The 26,529-nt window shown below is 37.8% G+C and overlaps 1 protein-coding gene and 1 pseudogene across 9 annotated transcripts in view; one reads left to right on the top strand and one right to left on the bottom strand.

Annotated features, from left to right (window-relative positions):
- The window catches only part of BEND6 (BEN domain containing 6), a 72,240-nt gene that overhangs the window by 34,995 nt on the left and 10,716 nt on the right, over positions 1 to 26,529 (bottom strand). For 8 of the 9 annotated variants that reach the window (NM_152731.3, NM_001318539.2, XM_017010406.2 and 5 more), the window contains exon 2: positions 10,422 to 10,641. In NM_152731.3, coding sequence (NP_689944.2) covers positions 10,422 to 10,541 — 120 coding nt within the window. In that variant the 5' untranslated portion in view covers positions 10,542 to 10,641. Of the gene's footprint in view, positions 1 to 10,421; positions 10,642 to 11,260; positions 11,281 to 26,529 lie in introns of those variants that run through there. The other variant, XM_017010407.3, reaches the window with a different exon arrangement.
- Positions 16,233 to 16,945, top strand: OSTCP6 (oligosaccharyltransferase complex subunit pseudogene 6; annotated as a pseudogene).

Raw genomic sequence — 26,529 nt, 5'->3', positions numbered from 1 at the left:
AGAAGCCTCATAGCATCTTTAATGGTTTATCTCTGGTTAACCATTGCATGTTGTTGGGACTACAAATTTCTTGTTCTCACAGGCACTTCCTGCTGCTGATCTAGCCCCAGCTTTGTCCTCCAGCAGGCAGAGGAACTCAAAATAAGGGCAGGACAAAGTTTCATGCACATATGCCTCTTGAGAAACAGAAACCAGGATTCTGAATTTCTGCCTAACTTCAGTGAAAAATACAAAGTAGAAAATTAGCAAAACAGAATAAAATCAACAAGACCACCATTCAAATCTGGTCTTCTCTGATATACAGCCCGGATTTGAGCAGAATGCCTCACCATATGAACCTTATTTCTTTCGCCTGTGAATACACACAGACAAATGATTTAATAAATAGAAAAGCTTAACAAGATGGCAGGGTATACCAGAGTTAGTGCTTCTATGTGCCAGCTACAAACAATTCATAACATAGTGTTCAAAAGGTTACTATTTATTAGAAGGACAAGAAGTACCTGTGGAGGGGAGTGTGGGGTAGTAGCTGACAGGGGACGTGAGGGAATCTTTGGGGTGCTGGTGAGGTTTTATTTTTTATATGGGTGTGTTCATTGTGTGATAATCAAGCTATACATTTTTTATATGTGTATTCTTCTGTATATATATTACACTTCCCTAAAATGTTTCTTAAAAATCTCCAGAAAGTGGCTGGCTGCGGTGGCTCACACCTGTAATCCCAGCACTTTGGGAGACCAAGGAGGGTGGATCACCTGAGCCCAGGGGGTCAAGACAGCCTGGGCAATGTGGTGAAACCCTGTCTCTACAAAAAATATAAAAATTAGCCAGGCGTGGTGGCACATGCCTGTTGTCCAGCTATTCTGGATGATCACCTGATTAAAGGGAGGTAGAGGCTGCAGTAAGCCGAGATGGTACCACTGCGCTCCACCCTGGGTGACAGAGGGATACCCTGTCTCAAAAACAACGTAAAAATTAAAAAAAAAAAACCTCCAGAAAGTAAATTTGTATAGATTCTCTTGACAGTTTTCAATCCCTAGAGCCTAAATATTCTGTATTTATGTTTAAATCCTGAGAACAGATGTCATTGACACACAACAAAAGATTTGCAAGAGCTTTATGAAAGAAGTAAAAAACAAACTTGACTGAAAGCTACCAAAGATAATCTAAATTAATGTAGAGAGACATCATGTTCAGAGATAAGAAGGCTTAATTAATTTATTTTTAAATGTTTGCAATTTTTTCAATTATCAATTTATTGTGTAACCATAATCATGGTTCATTATTTACAAGTAATATTGTTTTCATTAGATTGCAATATTATTGGTGAAAATGATAAAAATTATTTGTTGAGTGTCCACCAGGTATTTAGTGGTGTTGTAGGTACTTTACCTGTACGTTCATATGAAATGCCCACTTTATAAATGAAGAGAATAGATTCAGAGATACTGTCATTTGTTAAAGGTCATGCATCCAGTAAACGCTGGAGCTTGGAAGAGATCTCAAGATTGTCTGACTCCTGTAGGATCCTTAATTTTTTTAAAAAATTGATTATGCCAAAATTGAGCCATGGAATTAATATAAATTCAATAAAAATCTCAGAAGACATTTTGGTAACCTAATAAATTGGTTTTAAAATTTATATGGAAGAACAGAAGGCCAAGAATATCCAAAGCAATGCTAAAGAAGTATAAGCAGCAGGGTGTTTCCTCACAAATACAAAGGCTTATTAAAAATCTAGAAAACCGTAGGGTGCTGGTTCAGGGTTAGACAATATGACCAAGAAATAGAAGAGAGTGGCCTGAGGTCGGGTATGGTGGCTCATGCCTGTAATCCCAGCACTTTGGGAGGCTGAGGCAGGCAGATCTCTTCAGCGCAGAAGTTCAAGACCAGCCTGGGGAATGTGGCAAAACCTTGTTTCTACAAAAAATACAAAAATTATCCAGTCGTGGTGGTGCACACCTGTAGTCCTGGTTACTCGGGGGGCTGAGATGGGAGGATTGCTTGAGCTTGGTAGGTTGAGGCTGTGGTGAGCCATGATCACATCACACACAGCCTGGAAGACAGAGCGAGACCCTGTCCAAAAAAAAAAAAAAAAAAAAGAAGCGAGTGGCCCAAAATAGATGCATGCAGATGAAGAACTTTGACATGGTAGAGAAGGCATGGCAGCTTACTGCAGAAATGGGATCTGTTCAACAAATAAAGCTTGAAAAAACTGGTTAACCATTTGGAAAAAAAAATGAAAGGAAATGGATCTCTTATTACATACACACATACACACATGCACATACACAACTTCAGATGGATTAAGAATTTAAACATCAAAAACAAAAGTTTAAGTTTTGCAAGAAAATGTAAGTGCAGGTATTTTGAACTTGGGGCAGGAAAGAATTTCTTAGGCATAAAATCATTGATCATAATAGGAAAGACTAACAAATTCAGCTAAATTAAAATTAAGAAATTTTCTTCATTAAGGCACATTAAAGAAAGTGAAAAAACACATCACAACTGGTGGATATTTGCAATACTGTTAAGTGACAAATCAGTAAGGAAAAAGAAGCCAGCAATTCAATAGAAAATAGGCAGAAGACATGAACAAACATTTTACAGAACAGAAAACCCATAGGGCTTATAAATATATGAAAGGATGCTCAACCTCATTAACAACTAGGGAAAAGAAGATCAACATGATAAAAAGACATCATTTGGGGCAAAAATATGAATGGGCTTGACAAAAGCATAGAGTAGATGTAGATCAATGGAATTTCCTCATATTTCTGGTGGGAATGTAAATTGGCAGAACTACTCTGGAAAGCATTTGACATTATCTTGTAAAGTTTACCATTTACCTACCCTCTGATCTTGCAATTGATTTCTAGGTCTATACATAAGAGAAACTTTCAGTATTTGTAGTCTAAGACTTTCCATAACACTGTTGTTCATAATGGTGAAAACCTGAAAACAGCCCAAATTCCCATTGATAGGACAATGGGTAAATGAGTTGTGTTAGTTACAAGTTGGGATATTATACAGCATTGATAGTGAATAAATTATAGCCAAAATGAATTAATTTCAGTAAAATGTTGAGTAAGAAATGCAAGTTCCAGAAGTAAACAATATGGTATACTTTATGTAAAGTTTAAGAACAGATAAAACTAATGATACATTATCTAGATAAATATAGATTATATATCACATATGATATATAATCCATAATATATAATATATTTATATAGAAATGTATAATGAGACTACATTATAGTTGTGTATATATTTTTATAAAACTATTATTGTTATTATTTATTTATTTATTTACTTTTTGAGATGGAATCTCACTCTGTCTCCCAGGATGGAGTGCAGTGGCACGATCTCGGCTCACTGCAACCTCCACCTCCCTGGTTCAAGTGATCCTCCTGCCTCAGCCTCTTGAGTAGCTGGGATTTCAGGCACGCGCCAGCATGCCCAGCTAATTTTTTTGTACATTTAGTAGAGAAAAGGTTCTGCCATATTGCCCAGGCTGGTTTCAAACTCCTGACCTCAAGTCATCTGCCCACCTCGGACTCCCAAAGTGCTGGGATTACAGGCATGAGCCACCACGCCCAGCCTATAAAACTATTAAAACACAAGTAAATTAAACAAAATTGAATACGATTACCTCTAGAATGAGGCAGGCAGGGAATGGGGTAGGTGAGGAGTCTATAGGAAGTTATGAGTTTTAGTAATGTTTTAGGTCTTGGGATGGGCAGCAGCTTTATTGGAGATCATTGTATTTTTTAAGTAAAAAATAAAAGTTGACATGAGGCAATATATAGAGAATATCTTTCATATTGCATTGCACATAGTAAACATTCAATAATCATTTTTATCATGTTAGTATACATCATGGTTTCCTTCTTTGTAATTCTTCTCCTTTCTTCATTTCTCTTCGTATTTCCTATTCACAACCTTCTGACTGAGACTATGCTATTAGGTCAATTTTGGGGCTTATTGCATCAGAGAAGGTAGAGAGCAGATTCAGTTGAAAAAAAGCACTCACGGCTGGGCGTGGTGGCTCACGCCTGTAATCTCAGCACTTTGGGAGGCCGTGGCTGGCGGATCACGAGGTCAGGAAATCGAGACCATCCTGGCCAACATGGTGAAACCCCGTCTCAACTAAAAATACAAAAAATTAGCCGGGCCTGATGGCATGCACCTGTAGTCCCAGCTACCTGGGAGGCTGAGGCAGAAGAATCCGTTGAACCCAGGAGGCGGAGGTTGTAATGAGCCGAGATCATGCCACTGCACTCCAGTCTGGGCAACAGAGCAAGACTCTGTCTCAAAAAAAAAAAAAAAGAAAGAAAAAAGGAAAAAAGCATTCACATTTACCTTTTAGTTTAAAAAATAGTTTTAAAGGGCAATAGCAAGACAATTATTTGAAAACATATGCTTATAAGTTGTAACATTCAAGCTGTGTTGAGACAAAAGGATTTTCTGAAACTACCAAACTGGCATATATATATGTATATATATATCCAAATCTGGAAAATTGGAGTACAGAGTGGAATTTATAAGGATACAAACCTAGAAGTTTGTTGTTTAAAATTTTAAAGAATTAACCTGAGAGTAGAAGAAGCAAAGGTATAACATAAAGAAAGCCTCTACTGCCCAGTAAAAGAAAAGACATTCTGGTGCATGGAGGAGGAGCCTGGGCAATAAGAACTTGATTAGCATGAAATCTGATTTAAATGTCTTTGCTCTTCTTGCCCCTGCCCTTTAGGGGGAAAGGGGATGAATCTCCAGGTGGGGGTATATGATAGAGACATACAGATAAATGGGGGCAATCCCAGAACAGCAGGCTGGCTCCTTGCTTAGTGCATTCTTCCCTAAAGAGTCCTCATGTTCAGCATCAGGGCAACATGGTGTCTCTCCGGGCCACAGATTGGAAATGGCCAAATTGGTGTCCAGATAAATGGGTCAGAGACAACATCCAGATTTCCCAGAGCTCATGCAAAACAGCTGGAGAATCCAAATGTGCTTGTATCCTAGTTAGGGAATAGGTAAGTTCTGGAGGAACTAATGAAATATAAACAGCTGGCTGGGCACAGTGGCTCACGACTGTAATCCCAGTACTTTGGGAGGCGGAGGTGGGCAGATCAGTTGAGGTCAGGAGTTCAAGACCAGCCTGGCCAATATGGTGAAACCTCGTCTCTACTAAAAATACAAAAAAATTAGCCAGGCGTGGTGGCTCATGCCTGTAATCCCAGCTACTTGGGAGGCTGAGGCACGAGAATTGTTTGAAAACCCAGGAGGTGGAGGTTGAAGTGAGCAGAGATTGTGCCACTGCACTCCAGCCTGGGTGATACAGCAAGAGTCTGTCTCAAAAAAAAAAAAAAAAAAAAGAAAAGAAACACAAACAGCTTAATATCTAGACAGAGAGGCCACAAGGTGCCAGAACATTATAGAAGATGGCAGTGTGTGCCAGGATGGCAAATTTCAGCAGCAGCTACCAATAGAATCCCCAATGGACCTGTAAGGATTGGCTCAACAGTAACACCAAGGGACACCCTGAAACAAGGCAGGGAAGTTAAAACCTCAGTAAAAGATCAGATATCTTTCCCCAGAGGCTGAGTGCAAGACTTCGAAAAACTTGGTTCACTTCCCAAGAAAAGAAGGTGGAGGAGGGGAAGAATTTAGAATTCATTGAGGCTTAAATCCTGAAGTGACTTAAATAATAATAACTCAAAAAGACTGTTTTACACTAGAAAATGAATAAACAAGTTTAAGCTTTTTATTGTCTTATCAATCAAGCATAGAGACTTGAAAGCCAGATGAGATCAGTTATAGAAAACACAACTACATTTTTATATGATTTGCAGCATTTACATTCAACCTTTATTTTATTTTGTTTATTTATTTATTATTATTATTATTTTCTGGAAACAGGTCTTGCTCTTTTGCCCGGGCTGGAGTGCAGTGACACAATTTTAGCTCACTGCAGCCTCGAACTCCTGGGCTCAAGCAGTCCTCCCGCCTTAGCCTCCCGAGTAGCTGGGTTTATAGGTGCGAGTCACCATACCTGGCCCTCACCTTTATTTTATAAATGTACAGATATATGTATATGTTTGTATATTTCATTGTTATATATGTGTTTGTATATATATACATATGTAATACATCTTCTAGTGATGAAAATTACTAATATCAGAAGTAGGCAGATAGCTATACCCACGTTAAATGTATAAATCTTAAAGAAAAAATTATGTATTGATTAAATAGAAATAAGAAATTTTTAAAAACTGAAGATAGCCTATTGATACCATAATTCTGTTAGTAGTAATTAGTATCTATGGTCTAGTTCTTGTTAGCAAGTTTTAGCAAGTTGCTACAAGAGGGAAAGGACATCAGGCAAAAGAAATCCATTTGTAAGCATCAGTGGAAGGAAATGAAGTTAACAGACACATATTAGATTGGGAGAATATATTTGTAATATCTCAAACCATAAGAGACTAATTTCTACAATAGATAAGGTATTAGTGCAAATCAATAAGAATTGACAGAACAGGAAATCCATCAGAATAACCAAGAAAACGAACAGAAAACAAAAACCTAATAGAAAAATGGACAGTGCAGAGACTGCTAGCTATCTCCAGGTGTCTATTCTACCATTCTTGTATAGTACAATAAAGGTTTTAGCTGGGCTCATAGTTGTCAGCTAAAGGCTTCATTTCCCTGACTCCCACGTGGCTCAGTGTGACTATATGACTAAGTTCCCTCCAATAGGATATGAGCAGGAGTATTTTGGACCACTGACTTGTTGATAACCTTAAAAGAACAAGCATGCCTTCTTCTGCCTGTATTCTCCTTCTTCTATTAGCAGATGGGAAGGCATGATGGGAGAGTGAGGGGAGGGCAGTCATCTTAGACCTAGAGATAGAGGCTGTGTGTTGAGGAAGGTAGATCAACAAGGTAAGAGGGACACTCAACATGTGGAGCTGCCATAGCACCCCTAAACTGCTCTTACTATTAGGTAAGAGGGAAATAAACTTCATCCTGTATAAGCCATTATTGTGTTACTTGAGTCTATTTTACAGCCTTTGCAACTTATATCATAACTAGTCCAAAATTGAGTACCCAGAAGTACGAATACCTAAAACCTGAAATATAATTGAATTACTGAGAGGTCAGGTGGTAGCGCACAGGCATGGCATGCTGGATAGCCATTGATTCTTGTTAGACCTTGGGGCATATTTGGTACAACAGTCACCTGGAATACCTTTGAAGGCAGACCACAAACTTATTGAGCTTGGAAAAACAATGCTGGTATGTATCAGCTACTCCTTGTCAGTGCTGGTCAGTGTGCAAGCAGACATGGAAGGCTCTCTGAGTGCAGCATGCAATTTAAATTAACTGAGAGTCCAGTAATATTCAATCTTCAAGTTTTGAAAAAGCCAATTACTTTTATATCTAAATAGCAGAAGGTAAGACTGTATCCTCAAGGCTTTCTCGAGAGCTTTTCTTTAAGTGTTCTTGACAGATAATGGGATCCAGCCCAGTGGTAAGCTTCAGATGCAGGGTGTTTCCTTCAAGCTTTTTGTTTTGTATATTGTTTAGATAACTGTCATAAATTGGAGAGAAAAGAGGCTGAACACAGATGCCGTAATTGAAGAGAACAGTTTTCATGCTTACAATCCATGATCAAATAAAATCTCTGGCTATAGTGAATTTCAATGGAACAAAAAAGAAATTGTGGTTTAGAAAGCTATTAAGTTCTTGCTAAAGAAGCCACAATACCGGCCTACAAGAGCATGTGACTGTTTTTACCTCTTAAGCAATCCTTGAGTTTCCCTAAACCTGCATCAGCAGATTAAAACAATGAGATATCATTTTCTCCCATCAATTTGCAAAAACTAGAAATTTGGATATTAATGCTAACGGTTGTAGGGAAGTACAAATATGGGAACCTCTTAAACACTGATGCTGGGCACGTACACTGATGTGAACACTCTCGAAAAGTAATTTTATAATATCTAGTCAAATGAACTAGAAATAAACATATAACTTACAAGGTATAAATCACCCTCCTATGTATTTTTCCCAGATAAATTGTCACACAGTTTTTTTTTCTTTTTTCTTTGCTTTTTTTTTTGTTGTTGAGACAAGGTCTGGCTCTGTCACCCAGTCTGAAGTGCAGTGATGGGAACACAGCTCACTGCAGCCTGAAACTCCTAGACTGAAGCGATCCTCCCACCTCAACCTCCCAAGTAGCTAGGACTACAGGTGTAAGCAGTTGCACCCGATTAATTTTAAATTTTTTTTGGTAGAGAGAGGGTCTCCCTGTGTTGCCCAGGCTGGTCACAAACTCCTGGGCTCAAGTGATCCTCCTGCCTCAGCCTTCCAAAGTGCTGGGATTATAGGTGTAAGCCACTGCATCTGGCCTCACAAAGTTTCTTAAAAGGACATGTATAAGGATATTTACTTTGTCATTGTTTGTGGTAGCAAGATGCTGGAGGCAATCTAGGTATTCATCACTGAGGAAAGGATAAATAAAACACGGTGCTATGCAGCAGCTAGAAGCAATGGATCAGATGTATATATAGCAATATAGATAGGTATTAAAAACAGTGCTAATTGTGTGGAAACAAGCAAAGTGTCCATAAATGAATGGATGGATTAAAAAACAGTAGAATTAATATATTTATAAATGGAATATCATTGAGCCCTAAAAAAGAACAAGATCTTGCTATTTGCCACAATGTAGATGAGGCTGGAGGATGTTATGTTAGGTGAAGTAAACCAGACGCAGAAAGAAAATTATTGCATGATCTCACTTACATCTGGAATCTAAAAAAAACTTTCAAATATTCAGAGATACAGAACAAAACAGTGGTTACTAGGGCAGATGGGGCTTAGAGGAGAGAAAATGAGGAGATGTAAGTCAGAGGATATGAAGTAGCAGATACACAGAACAAAGAGGTTTAGAGATCTAACGTAGCACACGAGGACCATAGGTAATAAAATTGTTTTGTGTTTGGGATTCATGCAACATGTGTAGATTTTATCTGCTCTTGCAACAAAAATTTTAAAAATGGGTAACTGTGAGTGATGGATATGTTAATTTGCTTCACTATAGTAACCTTCTTACTATCTATATGTTTCCTATAACGTGATGTTATATACCTGAAATATACACAATAAAATTTATTTTAAAAAAACAGTGCTGATTGAAAATCAGAAACAGATTAAGGTCTATATTTTAATACCACTGTACTATCAAATGATGTACACATAAGGTGGTACAGTGTTGTGTGGTTTGTATTAAATAGTAAGAAAAGGATTAGAAACAACTGATATTTATCATAGGAAACCAGTTAAATAAAGGATGGTGAATACACACAGTGCAATAACATGGAGCTGTAAAAAATACAAAGCTCTCTGTATAATAATGGAAATACCTTCAAAATATATTAAGTAAAAAAGAAAAGTATAAAGCAATATATATGGTTAGTTTTGTGCCAAAGACAGGGATAAGAATGTATATTCATATTTGATTTATTTGAATGAAGAAACACTGGAACAATAAACAAGAAAGCAATAAATGTAATTACTTATATTGGGGGGCTGGTGGCAGGAACAGGGTAGGTGGGAGACAGGGATGTGAGGGAAACTTTTCACCGTTTACCTTTAAAAAATATTTTAAACCTTAAGAATGTAATATTTATTTAAATAATTAAGAATATATGAAATAAAACACTACATTACAGAGACATATGCAATTATATGTATTACAAAAACACACAAATAAAAAGATACAGAAATAAACATATTGATTGGTTGTCCAAAGTATAGGAGGGGAATGGGAGTGGGGAATTCAGATTTAAAAGGAACAAATGAATAAATAAAAATAGGAAAGGCACCCTGACCAAACCAGTGATAAGGATGGGCCACAAACTGGGGTCTAAAAAGAAAAACAAACAGTATGTCTTACAGATGAGGCATTCCAATTTCTTCAGTATTTGGGGAGAGGAAAAAATATTTTCTGACAGTTTGCTGATCTTTAATTTCTCAGACTATTAAGGAAAGTTTGAACAATAGAAGCAGGTCAATTGTTGAGTATGTTTCTAACTCAACTGTTCAACATTAAAAAGAGAACATAAGATGGTGCAGTGGCTTATACCTGTAATCCCAGCACTTTGAGAGGCTGACGTGGGAGGATCACTTAAGCCTAGGAATTTGAGACCAGCCTGGGCAACACAGGGAGACCCTGTCTCTACAAAACATTTTTAAAAAGAAAAAGAACATAAGATTATATTTTCTCCATTGAATAAAGAAATGAAAAGAATTAAATAATAGAAGAGGGAGAAGCACTAATAAATTATGAAAGAAACCATGAAATTATGATTGAGCTAGATAACAAAGTTGAGTCAAGGTAACAAAAAACCAACCTGTCCTTTATCCATGTCACTATTTGCATTTTCTGAGTCCATTGTCTCTGTTCTTTTCCTCTTTCCTTTTCTAAAAGCTTGTGTATTGGTAATTTCATCTGTCTGCACGATCTTCTGCATTTTCTCAATTAGTTATCAAAGGTTTTCTGAAATCCTAGGAGTAGGGAATACCCATGAAGATGATGCTATTCTGGACGTAGCTCAAAAGTTAATGCTTTCCCTTAAAAACAAAAACAAAAACATGACACATAACATATTCACAACTGTATGTTTCATAATGGTACTAGCCACTCAGATAAACCAGTTTTATTAATGTTTCCTATTCTTTCTTCCACTGATTAATTTAGTACACATTTTCATTTGATGCAAAAGTCTTCTAATTTCATCAGCATCATAAATAATTTCATATTTTCATGATGTGATATGCAGTGAGTTGTAATTTACAAAATCAAATATTGTAACACTTTTTCATAAGTTTTTTTCTTGTCAAACAGTTATATTATGAGGAGTCTACGAAACTAGAAACATTACAAATTTATAAAAACAGTATCACAGAGGACTGACCTTATATATCTTTAGGAAAAAGACGTTAATAATAGATTTCATAAGAACCGAAGACTAAAATATTCCAGGGAAATCAGTAAGAATTTCTTAAAAGGTTTTTTTTCCCCTAAAAGTTCTTAAGTCTTGAAATGCAAGATTTTCCTTGGTGCAAACTGAAGAATTGTGCCATAAGAAATGGGGGAAAAATCTCAAGGGCAATAGTATTTTCATAAAGATTTTAAGGAATAATCATTTATCAAAATCTGATAAAGCAGGCTGGGCATGACGGCTCACACCTGTAATCCCAGCACTTTGGCAGGCCGAGGTGGGAGGATTGCTTGATCCCAGGAGTTCAAGACCAGCCTGGGAAATATGGTAAAACCTCATTGCTACAAAAAATACAAAAAAGTTGCTGGGTGTGGTGAGTGATGTTAAATGATGAAATTTAACTTTTGCTATTTACAAATGATGTAGCATGTTAAGTCTTAGCATCCTTACTACTTGCATATATTGGTTTGTTTTCATGAAAAAATATTTAATTATAAATAATAAAACTTTATAGAAAGGACTTAGATGTCTTCAAGAAATATGTGGACTGTTGAACAGAAAGTAACATATGCTCCTTACCAAATTACATTGTCACTATTTTAGAAAATATAATTCTTTGCCTATTTTAAGTGAAAGCCATTATGATCTACTCTAAGCATAAAATAATATTTGGATGGTCCTGTCAAAAATGCTTGTTGCGACTCTTCTTTGAAAACTTACTTTAGCCTTTCAAATACATGAATAGTGCTTGAGCTAACACAGGACTATACTGTCAAATCTGACTCACAAATACCAGACAGCTTGCCTAATATCAATCTTTACTAATAATTTCAAAGATAGAAGCACAATCAAGCCACATGCAGTGGCTCACACCTGTAACCCTAGCACTTTGGGAGTCCCAGGCGGGCAGATTGCCTGAGCTGAGAAATTCAAGACCAGCCTAGGCAACATGGTGAAACCCCATCTCTACTAAAATACCAAAAATTAGCCAGGCATGGTGGCTCACGCTTGTAGTTCCAACTACTCTGGAGGCTGAGGCATGAGAATTGCTTGAACCTGGGAGGTGGAAGTTGTAGTGAACTGAGATCATGCCACTGCACTCCAGCCCAGGCAACAAGAGGGAGCCTCTGTCTCCAAAAAAGAAAAAAATCCACAAAAGCAAAAGAAAAAGCAATCAAGAGGCATAGGCAAAGTAGGAAGAGATCCAGGGAATCCCTGCTGGCTTCCTAGCTCCTTCCTTCTCACATCATGCACTCTGTGGTCCACAATAATAGGTGAGGCCTCTAAATTAATTTAGAGGGTTACCTCACACAGTGGAGAATGTTTAAGTTGTGATGCATCTCCATTTTATATTTCAGAGCTGTGTAGCTCGCATGACATTCTCTAGGAAGTTATAAATCCAGATTCTAGGTATGCTTGCAATAAGCAATCCCTAACCAAGGATATACTGTTAACAGCATTCCATAGATACAAACTGTCCTCCTAGTAAATACAAAAGTCTATTTGTGAGAACAGGGTTGACAAACTTTTTCTGCAAAGGGATGGATAGTAAATATTTTAGATACTGCAAGCCAATAGGCCAAATGTAGGATATTATATAGGTATTTACATAGCAAGAGAGAAGACAAATTTTCAAATTTTCAAAACTTCAAAATCTAATAATAGTACAACTTTTTGTAAGCCAAATTTACTAATGAAAAGAATGGAATTAACAAAAACCATCTTGCTTAATTGGGGTTCAGAGTTAGTGTTTCCTATCATCAAAATCAATTGCAAATGTTCATCTGACCTGTAATGAGATTTTACGTATTTCCTCTTTGAAAATGTCTTTTACATTGATAGGTACTGGCATATATTGATGTTAATCCATGAAGTTACAATTTTCTTAATTGAGATAAAGTTTACACAACATATAAATTCACCGTTTTAACCATTTAAAAGTGTGTACATCCATTTAAAGTGTACAATTCAATGATTTTTAGGATGTTTATTGCATAACCATCACCAAGAAACTCCATACATCCCAAAATGAGCTTATAATTTTAGTTGAGCATATTAATTTCTTAGAAGACTTTCATATAATTTTATTAGATTCTTCTCTTGATATTTGCCTTTTAGCATGTCATACTTTGAAGACTAATTACTCCCAATTAAAGGTTAGGTGGAAGCGCCTCAAATTGCACAATAAAATGGATTTTGAAATATGGAAATTTGTCTTGTATTTGCATTGAGATCTGAAAGGCAGTGCTGGAACTGTAATTTGAACTTAAAAATATATCCATTGCAAATCTGAGTGGGGATGAAGTCTCACATTTTGTTTTAACTTTTGACAATAGGGGAAGTAAATAAAGCAGTTTGACATTACTTATGCATCATCAATTAGTTGTTGTTAAAATGACTTTACTTCAGTGTAAGTTTTGCTGTAAGTGCTTGTCTTGTATATAATTTTGTCTTATGATTTCTTAATCAATTCAGTTAAGAAACATTATTAAGTCTACAGCAAAAGCTTATTTCAAAAGCCATTCAGTGCTCCATAGGCATATGGAACAACAGTCTCATTCACAAAAATTTCAATCTTCGCTCCAGTGCAAATATTTGCAGTAAAACTTTGCCACTGCTAAGCTATCAAAATGTTGGGTAGTAGGGCAAGTCAGAATATTCAACTTCTATTTGAAGTTCCATGAAAAGATTCCTGGAACTGATGATAGTCAAGTCCACAAGAATGAATGTTCACTGTTGACATTATTGGTTCAATAATAAATGATATTTTCAGAAATTGCCAAGGTGATCTTAAAATTTGTATGGAAATGTAAGAGACTTAGAATGGCCAAAACAATCTTGAAGAAGAAGGGTAGTCAAATTTATAGAGGCAGAAAGTAGATAAGTGATTTCTTATGGGTGAGGAGTAGGTTGGGGAGAGGAAATTGGCATAGGGTTTCTTTTAGAGGGGAAAAATGTTTTAAAAATTGAATTGTGGTGATGGTTGCAAAATACTGTGAGTATACAAAAAAAACCCTCCACATTTAATTGTATATTTTATTTTATTTTATTTTATTTTAGACAGGGTCTTGCTCTCTCACCCAGGCTGGAGTGCAGTGGCATGATCCTAAGTCACTGCAGCCTTGAAGTCCTGGGCTCAAGGGATCCTCTTGCCTCAGTCTCCAGAGTAGCTGGGGCTACAGGCATGCACCATGACACCTGTCTAATTTTTAGTTTTTTTTTTTTGTTTTTTGTTTTTGTAGAGACAGGGTCTCAGTATGTTGCCCAGGCTGGTCTTGAACTCCTGGCCTCAAGTGATCCTTCTGCTTTGGCCTCCCAAAGCATTAGGATTACAGGTATGAGCCACCATACTTGGTTGAATTGTACACCCTTTTCTTTCTTTTGAGATAGGGTCTTGCTCTGTCACTCAGGCTGGAGTGTAGTGGTGCAATCTTGGCTCACTTCAGCCTTGACCTCCTGGACTCAAGTGATCCTCCCGTCTTGGCTTCCCTAATAGCTGGGACTACAGGCGTGTGCCACTATGCCCAGCTAATTTTTTTATTTTTCGTAGAGATGGGGTCTCACTGTATTGTCTAGGTTGATTTCAAACTCCCGGCTTCAAGTGACCTTCCTGCCTTGGCCTTCCAAATGCTGGGATTACAGGCATGATCCATTGTGTCTGGCTGAATCATATACTTTAAATGGGTCAATTGCTTGGTTTGTGAATGCTGTTTCAATAAAGCTATTTTTTAAAAATACACATAATGGTTCAACTATTTTCTGCAAAGCACCTGCTGATGACTAATAAAATGAATAACCATAGGCTTTAAACACTTTACATTTTCATAAGTCCCGTAAATTTGTCTAATTATTTTTCTGCTCTATATATATTTGTAACACATCTTAGTAGATTCCACTTCAGGTTGTACTCAATTAGTATTTTCTCAGTTTCTTTGAAACTATTTTTGCCCACAGTTTTTTTTCACAAAGGCTATTTATAGAAACTAATTTGTTAGTCACTCTAAACTCAGCATTTGTTTCTCAAATAAAAAACAACTGAGCAGTAACCTGTTGACTCATTAAGAAACAATAAAAACTGACAGTCACTTGCTTGTTATTTAATTGATTATTGTGCCACTCTCAATGTCCCCAACCCTTTGAGCAACTATCTTTGCTGAAAGGCTAATAGTTGTAAACTACTGCAGTCAAGTATAATTCAATTATTATAATTTCACTATCTGTAAATGGTTTTCCTTCTTGGCTAACAAATGAGCCATATGAAATTTATTTTGGTTGCACTAATTTTCATTTTTTAATTTGTGTGAAGAAATTCTGCTGTGATGAAAAATGAGATAGTCCATTTTAAATTTCCTAATTTTTCTGACTGCTATTTTCCTGTGAGTTGGAAATATTGTGATGAGTGCTTAGTTGGCTAATGTTGATATATATGATATTCTTTCAGCACAACTGTAATGTCATTGTATAATAAACACAATCTACCAGTTGCAGTGCTCATGCCTGTAATCCCAGCACTTTGGGAAGCTGAGGCAGGCGGATCACTTAAGGCCAGTAATTCAAGGCCAGCTTGGCCAACATGGTGAAACCCCATCTGTATTAAAAATACAAAAATTAGCCAGGTGTGGTGACGTGCACCTGTAATCCCAGCTACTCAGGAGGCTGAGGCAGGGGAATCGCTTGAACCCAGGAGGCAGAGGTTGCAATGAGCCAAGATTGAGCCACTGCACTCCAGCCTGAGTGACAGAGCAAGACTCTGGCTCAAACAAACAAACAAACCCCACAGTCCTTTGCCACCTAATTTTGTAATAAAATAATCTACACTCCACTCTGCCTTAGAAGCACTAACGCGGCTGGGCATGGTGACTCACGCCTGTAATCCCAGCACTTTGGGAGGCTGAGATGGGCAGATCTTGAGGTCAGGAGATCGAGACCATCCTGGCTAACACGGTGAAACATTGTCTCCACTAAAAATACAAAAAATTAGCCGGGCATGGTGGCGGGCGCCTGTAGTCCCAGCTACTCGGGAGGCTGAGGAAGGAGAATGGCGTGAACCCGGGAGGCAGAGCTTGCAGTGAGTCGAGATCGCGCCACTGCACTCCAGCCTGGGTGACAGAGCGAGACTGTATCTCAAAAAAAAAAAAAAAAGCACTAACACTAATTTTATCTTCTTTTCTTGTTTGGCATGATTGGCATGCACTGATAATAAAAAATAAATTAAATAATTGTTTCCAGGTGGTATGTGGGGCTTGAGGCTGAGAATGGCCCTTGCTGTCACCAACATGGAGACTTTGTATCGTGTCCTGTTCTTAGTGCTTGAATGTCCCTGAATGTCCCAACCTGAAGCTGAAGAAGCCACCATGACTGCACATGGCGTCGACCATGACTGTGTATGCTCTGGTGCTGGTGTCTTACTTCCTCACCACTGGAGGAATAATTTATGATGTTATTGTTGAACCTGCAAGTGTTGGCTCTATGACTGATGAACATAGGCATTAGAGGTCAGTAGCTTTCTTGGCCTACAGAGTAAATGGACAATATATTATGGAAGGACTTGCATCCAGCTTCCTGTTTAAAATGGGAGGTTTACGTTTCATAATCCTGGACCAATTGAATGCACAAAATATCCCAAAACTCAATAGATTTCTTCTTCTATTCATTAAATTCATGTGTGTCCTACTGAGTTTTTTCACGGCTAGAGTTTTCATGAGAATGAAACTGCTGGGCTATCTGATGGGCTAGAGTGCTTTCGAGAAGAAATAAGTGGATACTGGATTTGCTCCTGTCAATGAAGTTTTAAAGGCTGTACCAATCCTCTAATATGAAATGTGGAAAAGAATGAAGAGCAGCTGTAAAAGAAATACCTAGTGAAAAAACAGGAAGTATATTGGAGTGTGGACTAGAATTTCTTCTTAATATCAAAGAGACAAGTTTATCACAGTATTTTTTTTCCCTGCTGACCTATTGATATACTAACGATGTTGAGAGGCATTTTCTTCTTAGTTTTTCATTTTTTTAAAGAAAATATACTCCATATCTACAACTATAATATTGAATGATTATTTTTTACAACCCCCTTAACATTTTTTGGAGATGACACTTCTGATTTTCAGAAATTAACATAAAATCAGGAAGCAAGATTCCATAGGCTGAGAACTCTGGACAGCTGATCAGCTTTACCTAAGGTGCTTTGCCTTTATTTTTTTTATTTTGTTTTATTATTATTTTTTGAGACAGTTTCGCTTTTGTTGCCCAGGCTGGAATGCAATGGCTCGGTCTCAGCTCCTGCAGCCTCCACCTCCCAGGTTCAAGTGATTCTCCACCTCAGCCTCCCAAGTAGCTTGGATTACAGGCACCCGCCATCATGCCCGACTAATTTTGTATTTTTGTAGGGATGGGGTTTCACCAGGTTGGCCAGGCTGGTCTTGAACTCCTGACCTCAGGTGATCCACCTGCCTTGGCCTCCCAAACTGCTGGGATTATAGATGTGAGCCACTGTTCCCAGGCTGCTTTGCCTTTAAATAGAGTATGTGATGGTAGATTACTTGAGATATGTATGTAAACTGTTTCCTGAACAATAAGATATATGAAAGGAGCAGAAATAAATAATTTTTCTAATTAAAAATAAAATAAAATAAAATGCCATGGCATGACAATATGCATGCCACTCAAAATGCTGTCAATTATTAAAGCTGCATCACTGTCATTTGTGGTCCACTTAGCAGTACTTTAAAGCAATGAAGTTGTCCCATATGGTCTCTGTCACTACCACTTAACTCTGCTCTCATAGTATGAAAACAAGCATAGGCAATACATAAACACATTAAGTGTGGTGATGTTCCAATTAGACTTTGTTTATGAACACTGATACTTCAAGTTTATATAGTTTTATATATAATAAAATGTTATGTTGACTTTTAAAAACTTCTTAAATCTGTAAAAAACATTCTTACCTTAAGGCTGTACAATAATAGATGGCAGGCAGATGAACCATAATTTGTGAAAATCTGACCTAAAGATCCATATATTTATCATATTTAAATGGAGTTTAGATGGTATCACCTGCTTTCTTTTATTTCACCTTCATTTCTTTTTCTGGGGGGCAGGCCATCTGCTTTAATTCCTTTTTCTCCATTGACTTACATTACCGCACATATTACCGACAAATTAAAAACAGTACTCTACTCTCCCCTTACCAACACTTTTGCTTTCCTCAGTTTCAGTTACCTGCAGTGAACTACAGTCTGAAAACATTAAATGGGAAATTCCAGAAATAAATAATCTGTAAGTTTAGGCCGGGTGCAATGGCTTATGCCTGTAATCCCAGCACTTTGGGAGGCTGAGGTGGGCAGATCACTTGAGGCCAGAAGTGCAAGATCAGTCTGGACAACATGGCAAAAGCACATCTCTACAGAAAATACAAAAAGCTAGCTGGGCATGGTGGTGCACCTGTAGTCCCAGCTACTCAGGAGGCTGAGGTGGGAGGATCACCTGAGCTGGGAAGCTGAGGCTGTGGAGAGCCCTAATTGTGCCACTGCACTCCAGCCTGGGTGGCAGAATGAGACCCTGTCTCAAAAAAAGAAAAAAATTGTAAGTTTAAAAAGAATGCCATCCCAAGTAGCATGATGAGAGCTTGTGCCATACCACTTACCCAGCATGTGAGCTGTCCCTTTGTCCAGCGTATCCACACTGTATACACTAGAGTAGCCTTCTCAGTTATCATCTCACATCATTACCATACTTAGTACAGTAAGATATTTTGAGAGAGAGGAAGACCACATTCACCTTACTTTTATTACAGTATATCATTATAATTGTTTTATATTACTATTAGTTATTGTTATTAATGTTTTACTGTGCCTAATTAATAAATTAAACATTATCATAGGTATGTATAGAAAAAATGTAGTATATATAGAGTTCGGTACAACCCACTGTTTCAGGCATCCACTGGGGTCTTAGAATGCATCTTCCGTGGATAAGGGAGCACTACTTGTACTTGAGAGACACAGTATGCACCCTCTAAGGTCCTACAGCAGATTTATTATTTGATAAAACTAAGTTTCACCAGGTTTAACTGACACGGACCTATTAAGTACTATTTAGTGATGGTAACAGATGTCAGAATCTTACTTCACTGGGGTTGCTGATAATTCAGAATGTGTGGAGAGCTCTTTTCTCCACAGTCAAAAGAAAAGATTGTCTACTCCAGGAAGGGTTCTCTCAACATATATCCCACTGTCTCCTTTATGGTTTTATGTTTTGTCAAATGCGTCATCACCACACTTTCAGTAAATCCAGGGCAATAAAGTAGAGAACTTCTGATTGTTCTTTATTTTTCATTTCTTTGTACGTAGATCAATGCTCCACAGAAGAGAGAGAGAGAAATGTCTATCTTATAGGGCCACTAATCCTATCACATCTCTCTCTTTCTTTGTCATGTGAGGACACAGCAAGAAGGCTGCCACCTGTAAGCCAGAAATAGAGCCTTCACCAGAAACTGAACCTTGCTGGGCCTGTTCTTGTACTTTCTAACTTACAGAATTGTGAGAAACAAATTTTTGTTGTTTAAGCCACCCAGTCTATGGTATTTGTTATGGCGGCCTGAGCTTACTAATACATTTCTATTGGAAAATGGGGTGTCAGTTTTCTACTGAGAACTTAAGTGCTTAGAGTGCTGTAGAAAGTGACATAATTGAGAAATACATCTTCTTTTTATCTGAAAGGCAGTAATGCTCATTATAAAAGTGAAAGATCACACATAGACAGTGTATGAAATAAAACTGTAAAAGTCTTCCTTTCAATCCTTTTTCCTTTTAAAGTACATAATTAGTTTTCAAGAGTTACACTTTGTTACTTTAAACTTTATTAATTCCTGCTAAAATTAATTTAGGCTTGCAAAATCATTAAAAACAAATTAGTTATAAAATTCTTATAAGGAAACATGCGGTGGCTGGGCCCGGTGGCTCACATCTGTAATCCCAGCACTTTGGGAGGCCGAGATGGGTAGACCACTTGAGCTCAGAGGTTCGAGACCAGCCTGGCCAAAGTGGGGAAACTCCATTTCTACTAAAAATACAAAAATTAGTCAGGCCTGGTGGCGCATGACTTTAGTCGCAGCTATTCAGCAAGCTGAGGCAGGAGAATTGCTTGAACCCAGGAAGGGGAGGTTGCGGTGAGCTGAGATCATGTCACTGCATTCCAGCCTGGGTGATAGAGTAAGACTCTGTCTCAAAAAAAAAAAAAAAAAAAAAAAAAAGAAAGTAAAGTAAAGTAAAAAGAAAACATATGGCAAAAGCTTTATGCAACTGGATTTTTCAAAGATTTCTTGGGTATGATACCAAAGGGCATAGGCAATAAAACAAAAAACAGGAATATTGGACTTCATGCAAATTAAAGTTTTGTGCATCAAAAGTCACTATTAACAGAGTTAAAAAGGCAACCCATAGAATGTGAGAAAATATTTTCAAATCATGAATTTAATGAGATTAATATCCAGAACGCACAGAATTCTTAAAACTTAACAAAAAAATGATTCAAAAATGAGTAAAGGACTTGAATAGACTTTTTCCATAGAAGATATACAAATGGCCGGCCAATATCACATGAAAAGGTGCTCAGCATCACTAATCATTAGGAAATGCAAATCAAAACTACAAGGAGAAACTACTTCATAGCCATTAGGATGACTACAAACAAAAAAACAAAATCATAAGTATTGGTAAGGATATAGAGGAACTGGAACCCTGTGCACTGTTGGTGGTAATGTAAGATGGTGCAGCCACTGATGGAAAACAGCACGGAACCTTCTAGAAAAATTAAAAATAAAATTACCATATGATCCAGCAATTCTACTCCTGGGTATATACTAAAAAGAATTAAAGCATAGTCTTGAAGAGATACTTGCATACCATGTTCATAGCAGCATTATTCACAATAGCTAAAAGGAGGAAGCAACCCATGTCCATCGAAAGATGAATAAATAAGCAAAATGGGCAGATACATATAATGTAATAGTATTCAACCTTTAAAAGGAAGGAAATTCTGATGTTCTATAACATGGATTTACCTTGAGAACATTATGCTAAGTGAAATATGCCAGTTCCAAAAATACCAATATTATATGATTCCATTTACATGAGGTACCAGAATAGTCAAATTCATAGAGACGGAAAGTAGAATGGTGATTGCCAGGGGCTAGGGGAAGTGAGGGAATAGGAACTATTGTTTAATGAGCACAGAGGTTCAGTTTTGTAAGATGAAAAGTATCCTGGAGATGGATGGTAGTGATGGTTGCACAATAATACTAAGGTATTTAATGTTACTGAACCAAACAGTTAAAAATGATTAAAATGGTAAATTTTATGTTATGTGTGTTTTACCACAACAAAAAACTTGGAGAAAAACAAATTAGTTTACAAAAACACAGTTTTTGTATTATCCCTAGTTGTATTAATATTAAACTTTCCCCTGCAGATATGATTTGGTTAAAGAGCAAATCCTCAAGTTTCTTCACAAACACACAATTCACTCAAGACCAACCAGATATAGACATATCAGACCTTATTTAGAATATCTACTTTCCAGTAGATTTCAGGTCAATATTATGTTATAAATTCCATAAACAGGTGATTCAATGTTTATATTAGCTGCCAATTAGCAAATTCAGAAGGAACATTATGAATATGGCTATATATTAAATACTACCAGTTTCTGATAGGTAGTAAAAAAATTCACTATGTGGCTATCTGCCCCCAATTTATTTATTTATTTACTTACTAAAAGAACGCATCTTATTAATTCTCTAATAGTTGCAGGAGATGAGATGAAACATGAACACAGCCATGATAACACTTACAATATGTGGTTGGGGCAGTGTGTGGTGGTTCACGCCTGTAATCCTAGCACTTTGGGAGGCCAAGGTTGGCAGATCACCTGAGTTCAGGAGTTTGTGACAAGCCTGGCCAACATGGTGAAACAAAAATTAGACAGGCATGGTGGCACGTGCCTGTAATCCCAGCTACTGGGGAGGCTGAGGCATAAGAATGGCTTGAACCTGGGAGGCGGAGGTTGTAGAGAGCCGAGATCATGCCACTGCACTCCAGCCTGGGTGACAGAGTGAGACTCTGTCTCAAAAAAAGAAAAAAAAAATGTGGTTGGAGGAATAATATAAGCCAAGAGCTTTAAATTTTTTTTGACTGTTACAGTAAAAAATACATTTTGATCTAGAAAATACACACACACATGCAACTAAAACAAAATTTTAAGAAACATATTTACCCTTACTACATGCAATGCACTGTCTCAGTTTCTATTCTGTCTGCTCTATTTTATTTCATTTAAAAAAAGTGCTGGTCATAGCACATTAAACTGATTTCACAACCCATTAATGGATTATAATCCATAGTTTGAAAAATAATGTCCTAAGCAACATCCAAATTATGAAAAACACAGTGTCTCGGAATTAAGACGTAGAAAAAGGGGAGTTTTGTAATTAATGGAAGCAAATCAAAACATAAATTCTCAATGCATTTATGTTTAATTTTAACAAATCAATGACACACCTAATGCAGGAATTCAAAAGCCACCTCTGAAATTCTAAAAAAAAAAAACAAAGTCACCAAACCTAAGGAAACTAGATTAATATCAAAATGTAATACAGGTGTCTCATCTGCCTTTGTATTTAAATATAAGTTCTCTATTATGAATTCTATTAAAATTTTGAAAGGCAAGTACAGCACTACAACAAAACCTAAGTACTCTTTCATAGGTTTCAAAAGTTTTGGATTGCTTTATACATATATCAGTTTTGAAATGTATAGACATAAAAGACCCCTTATAGTACTCAGGTCAGAATATGAACTGAAGACTCCCCTCTAAATAAATTCAAAAGTGGCGGGAAACTAGTGCCAATATAATTCTAAATAGCCAGTGGCTGGCTTAATGATTTCTATAAAACGGACTACTAGTTTTAGTCCAGCTGCATAGCAAGATAGGGCACGGAGGAAGGAGATGCCTATATTATTTATTTTTAGTTATATATGTTCTCGAGGAAGACAAATCAAGATTGAAATGGCTGTAAATGATTGGGTGCATTCTGAGCACTCCAACCCTCAGACAGCACTCTGCTGAGCAAAACAAATGCATGGCTTTCTCACCAAAGTGTTCTGACTTCTAGAGGGAAAACTACTGGGTTTTACTAAGGTCCATTAGGCAGCATTTCAACTTACTGTCTGTTTTTACTTCCTTCATTTTCTTTTCTTTTTTTTTTTGAGACAGAGTCTGACTCTGTCTCCCAGGCTGGAGTGCAGTGGCGCCATCTCTGCTCACACAACCTCCGCCTCCTGGGTTCAAGTGATTCTCCTGCCTCAGCCTCCCGAGTAGCTAGGATTACTGGCGCCTGCCACCACGGCTGGCTAATTTTTTTTATTTTTATTAGAGACGGGGTTTCACCGTGTTAGCCAGGATGGTCTTGAGCTCCTGACCTCGTGATCCGCCCACTTCAGCCTCCTAAAGTGCTGGGATTACAGGTGTGAGCCACCGCACCTGGCCACTTCCTTCATTTTCAAATGACATAAATATTTTCAGTTTCCAAGTTGTTCTGGCAATATCATGATTAAAAAAATGGTCAGTGTGCTTCGGGATGGTTCGACAATGCTGCCAAACTGTTATGGCATAACTTGGACTGGATTAGAGATTATGTAGGAGCCTAAGAAACGTTATGTTTGGGCCAAGTGCAGTGGCTCACACCACTGTGGCTTTGGGAGGCTGAGGTGGGAGGATTGCTTGAGCCCAGGAATTTAAGACCAGCCTGAGCAACATGGTGAGAATCCATTTCTACAAAAAATAAAAAAAAAATTAGCCAGGCATGGTGGGGCACACCTACAGTCCCAGCTACTGGGGAGGCTGAGGTGGGAGGATCACGAGAGCCCAGGAGTTTGAGGCTGCAGTGAGCTGTGTTCCTGTTGCTGCACTCCAGCCTGGGTGACAGAGTGAGACCCTGTCTCAAAAAAAAAAAAAAAAAAAAAAAAAAGAAAAGAAAGAAAGAAAGAAAAAGAAAAGAAGCATTATGCTTGAGGGGGCTATAGACCTGAATCATTTTATATTTTCCATGAAGGGAAAGGAAAGAAAAACATTCTTATCTTTCTGGAGTTTGTGGATGTACTTTCACTGAAGCTAATTGAATGAATAAGCAGTGATATCATGTGTTTTCATATGTGTAACCATTATCTAGAAAAGAAATTAATTTAGTTCCCTATACTGACCTATATGACATCCTTGGATCTCTCCAATTCTGCCTCCTTCACTTAATAAAAATAAAAACATAGCTAACATTTACTGAATATTTAGTATATATAAGGTGCTATTCTATGCATTTAACCTCTACTAACTCATTTAATCCTCACAGACACCCTTTGTGGTAGGAACAAGTATTATCCACACTTTACAGATGAGGGAGCTGAGGTCCACGGTGGAACCTGGCAACCACTCCTAGTTGGTAATCCATAAGCACGCTCAAGCCAGAACTTAGCAGCTAATCATCAAGTCAGCTTTGTAGCAGGTTGTCAATTCCAATAATGAGATTTTTGCTTTTTTCACTTCAAGTAGTCCCTTACAGGGCCCTCCTTGCCTAAGTTTGCCCTGTAGTACCATTCCCACAGAGACTGGAGTCTTGGCTTGTTCATCAGTGTTTATTAGGACTATAGTCCTGGTTAGATGCTAGAGAAGGAGACCCTTTCTTTGGCCCTCCAGATCCTTTCCCTAGCTGTCTCTATTTCACTCTCTGAGTCTGGAGTTTGACCTGTTTGGGCTCCCGAACTCTCTTTTCAGCTGAGTTCAGCTGATTTCAGCCAATGAGTGTCCAGGCATGAGATCAGAGGGAGGGAGGACAGCGAGTCAGGAGAATTTATCCTCCCGGCTCCCTTCCTGTGGGGTCACTTCAGATTTCATGTGCCCCTCTCCTTTCAGGTTGCAATAACCATGCCTTTCCTCTCCCTTTGGTCCAGGGCTGGTAACATTTCCACTATGACTAGCCCTGAGGTACAGCATGATCTCTCATGGTTTCCCTATACTCAGCCCACACTTTCTTAAATAGTCCCTTAGTTAAAGCCTTTTCAAATCATCCTAATTTTAGTGGGCCATCTATTTCTTGCCAGAACTCTGACTGATACAACATGGCAGGGCTCCTCATACCTCCTGATTGCCTGTGTGTCTATTTGTTGCCAGCCGATAGATTCCTTCCGTTGCCAATACTTCCACCTGCTATCTCCCTATGGACATCTGATACTGACAATGTACCTGATCTACACTATTTGTTTGCTGGGTTATTACTGTTCTATAGGATATGGCTTGTATTTCTAATTTCCATGTTCTGACATGATCCATCCTACCACTGATCAAGCTCTATTTCCAGTGGCAAAGGGGTTTATTTTTTTTGCTCTTTTCTTCATGCATGCTCTTATCTGTATTACTGGATCAATACCCCTAGTATTGCTGGTATCACTGGCTCCACATGTTAGCTTCATCATCTGTACCAGAGTCCCTCTGTTGCTCCTCACCTGGCAAAACAACCAAGTGCTAAATGACCCAGCCTTTGTCTTTTCGGAAATTAAACAGTGTGGCTGGCTTACTTTCATGTTGATGTGTTCACGAAGAAGACTATAGCACAGAGGTAATAGCACAGAAATAAGAGGCTGGGAAAAGTGGAAGGCAATCTTCACCTGCTCCACAGTGTCACTTATCCCAATCAATTGTCAATAAAAAGCCTGCAGGCACAGGCAGAACTATCTGAAAATTTGCACAAGAAAGTAAATGCAAAATTCAGAGGGACTCTAAAATTTTCCTGTGGTTCTAGGGCCTCTGAACATTTTCTTCTTGGCTATTATTGTGTTACTACTTGTCCCCCCAATAATTATGTGCCTTCCCTCATATTTATAAAAAAACAGGCCAGGCGCAGTGGCTCACGCCTGTAATCCTAGCACTTTGGGAGGCCGAGGCAGGCGGATCATCTTAGGTCAGGAGTTCGAGACCAGCCTGGACAACATGGTGAAACTTCATCTCTACTAAATATACAAAAACTAGCCAGGCGTGGTGGCAAGTGCCTGTAACCCCAGCTACTCTGGAGGCTGAGGCAGGAGAATTGCCTGAACCCGGAAGATGGAGGTTGCAGTGAGCCGAGATCATGCCATTGCACTCCAGCCTGGGTGACAGAGCAAGACTCGGTCTCAAAAAACAAACAAACAAACAAACAAAAAACAAACCACAGGTTCAGAGTTAAGCCTAGAGAGGAGTAAAATCAATTACAAGTTCTATTTTAGGAGGACTATAAGTCATGTGAAGTGTTTTCTATTTCACATTTTTTAATTAATGTGGAACTTTCTATTCATCTTGAAAGTTGAGAGCAAAATGAGATTATTATGCTTTTTGCTTTAAGTAAATGTATTCTACAACATTAATAACTTTTGGACCAATTTTGCAAATTCACAAAATGTAATATGTAATTCTGATCCAAGAATCAATGCTT

Source organism: Homo sapiens, chromosome 6, assembly GCF_000001405.40.
Source record: "Homo sapiens chromosome 6, GRCh38.p14 Primary Assembly".
In the NCBI taxonomy this organism is placed as follows: domain Eukaryota; kingdom Metazoa; phylum Chordata; class Mammalia; order Primates; family Hominidae; genus Homo; species Homo sapiens.
The sequence above is the reverse complement of the archived record's forward strand: the minus strand, read 5'-3'. Positions and strand labels throughout refer to the sequence as shown.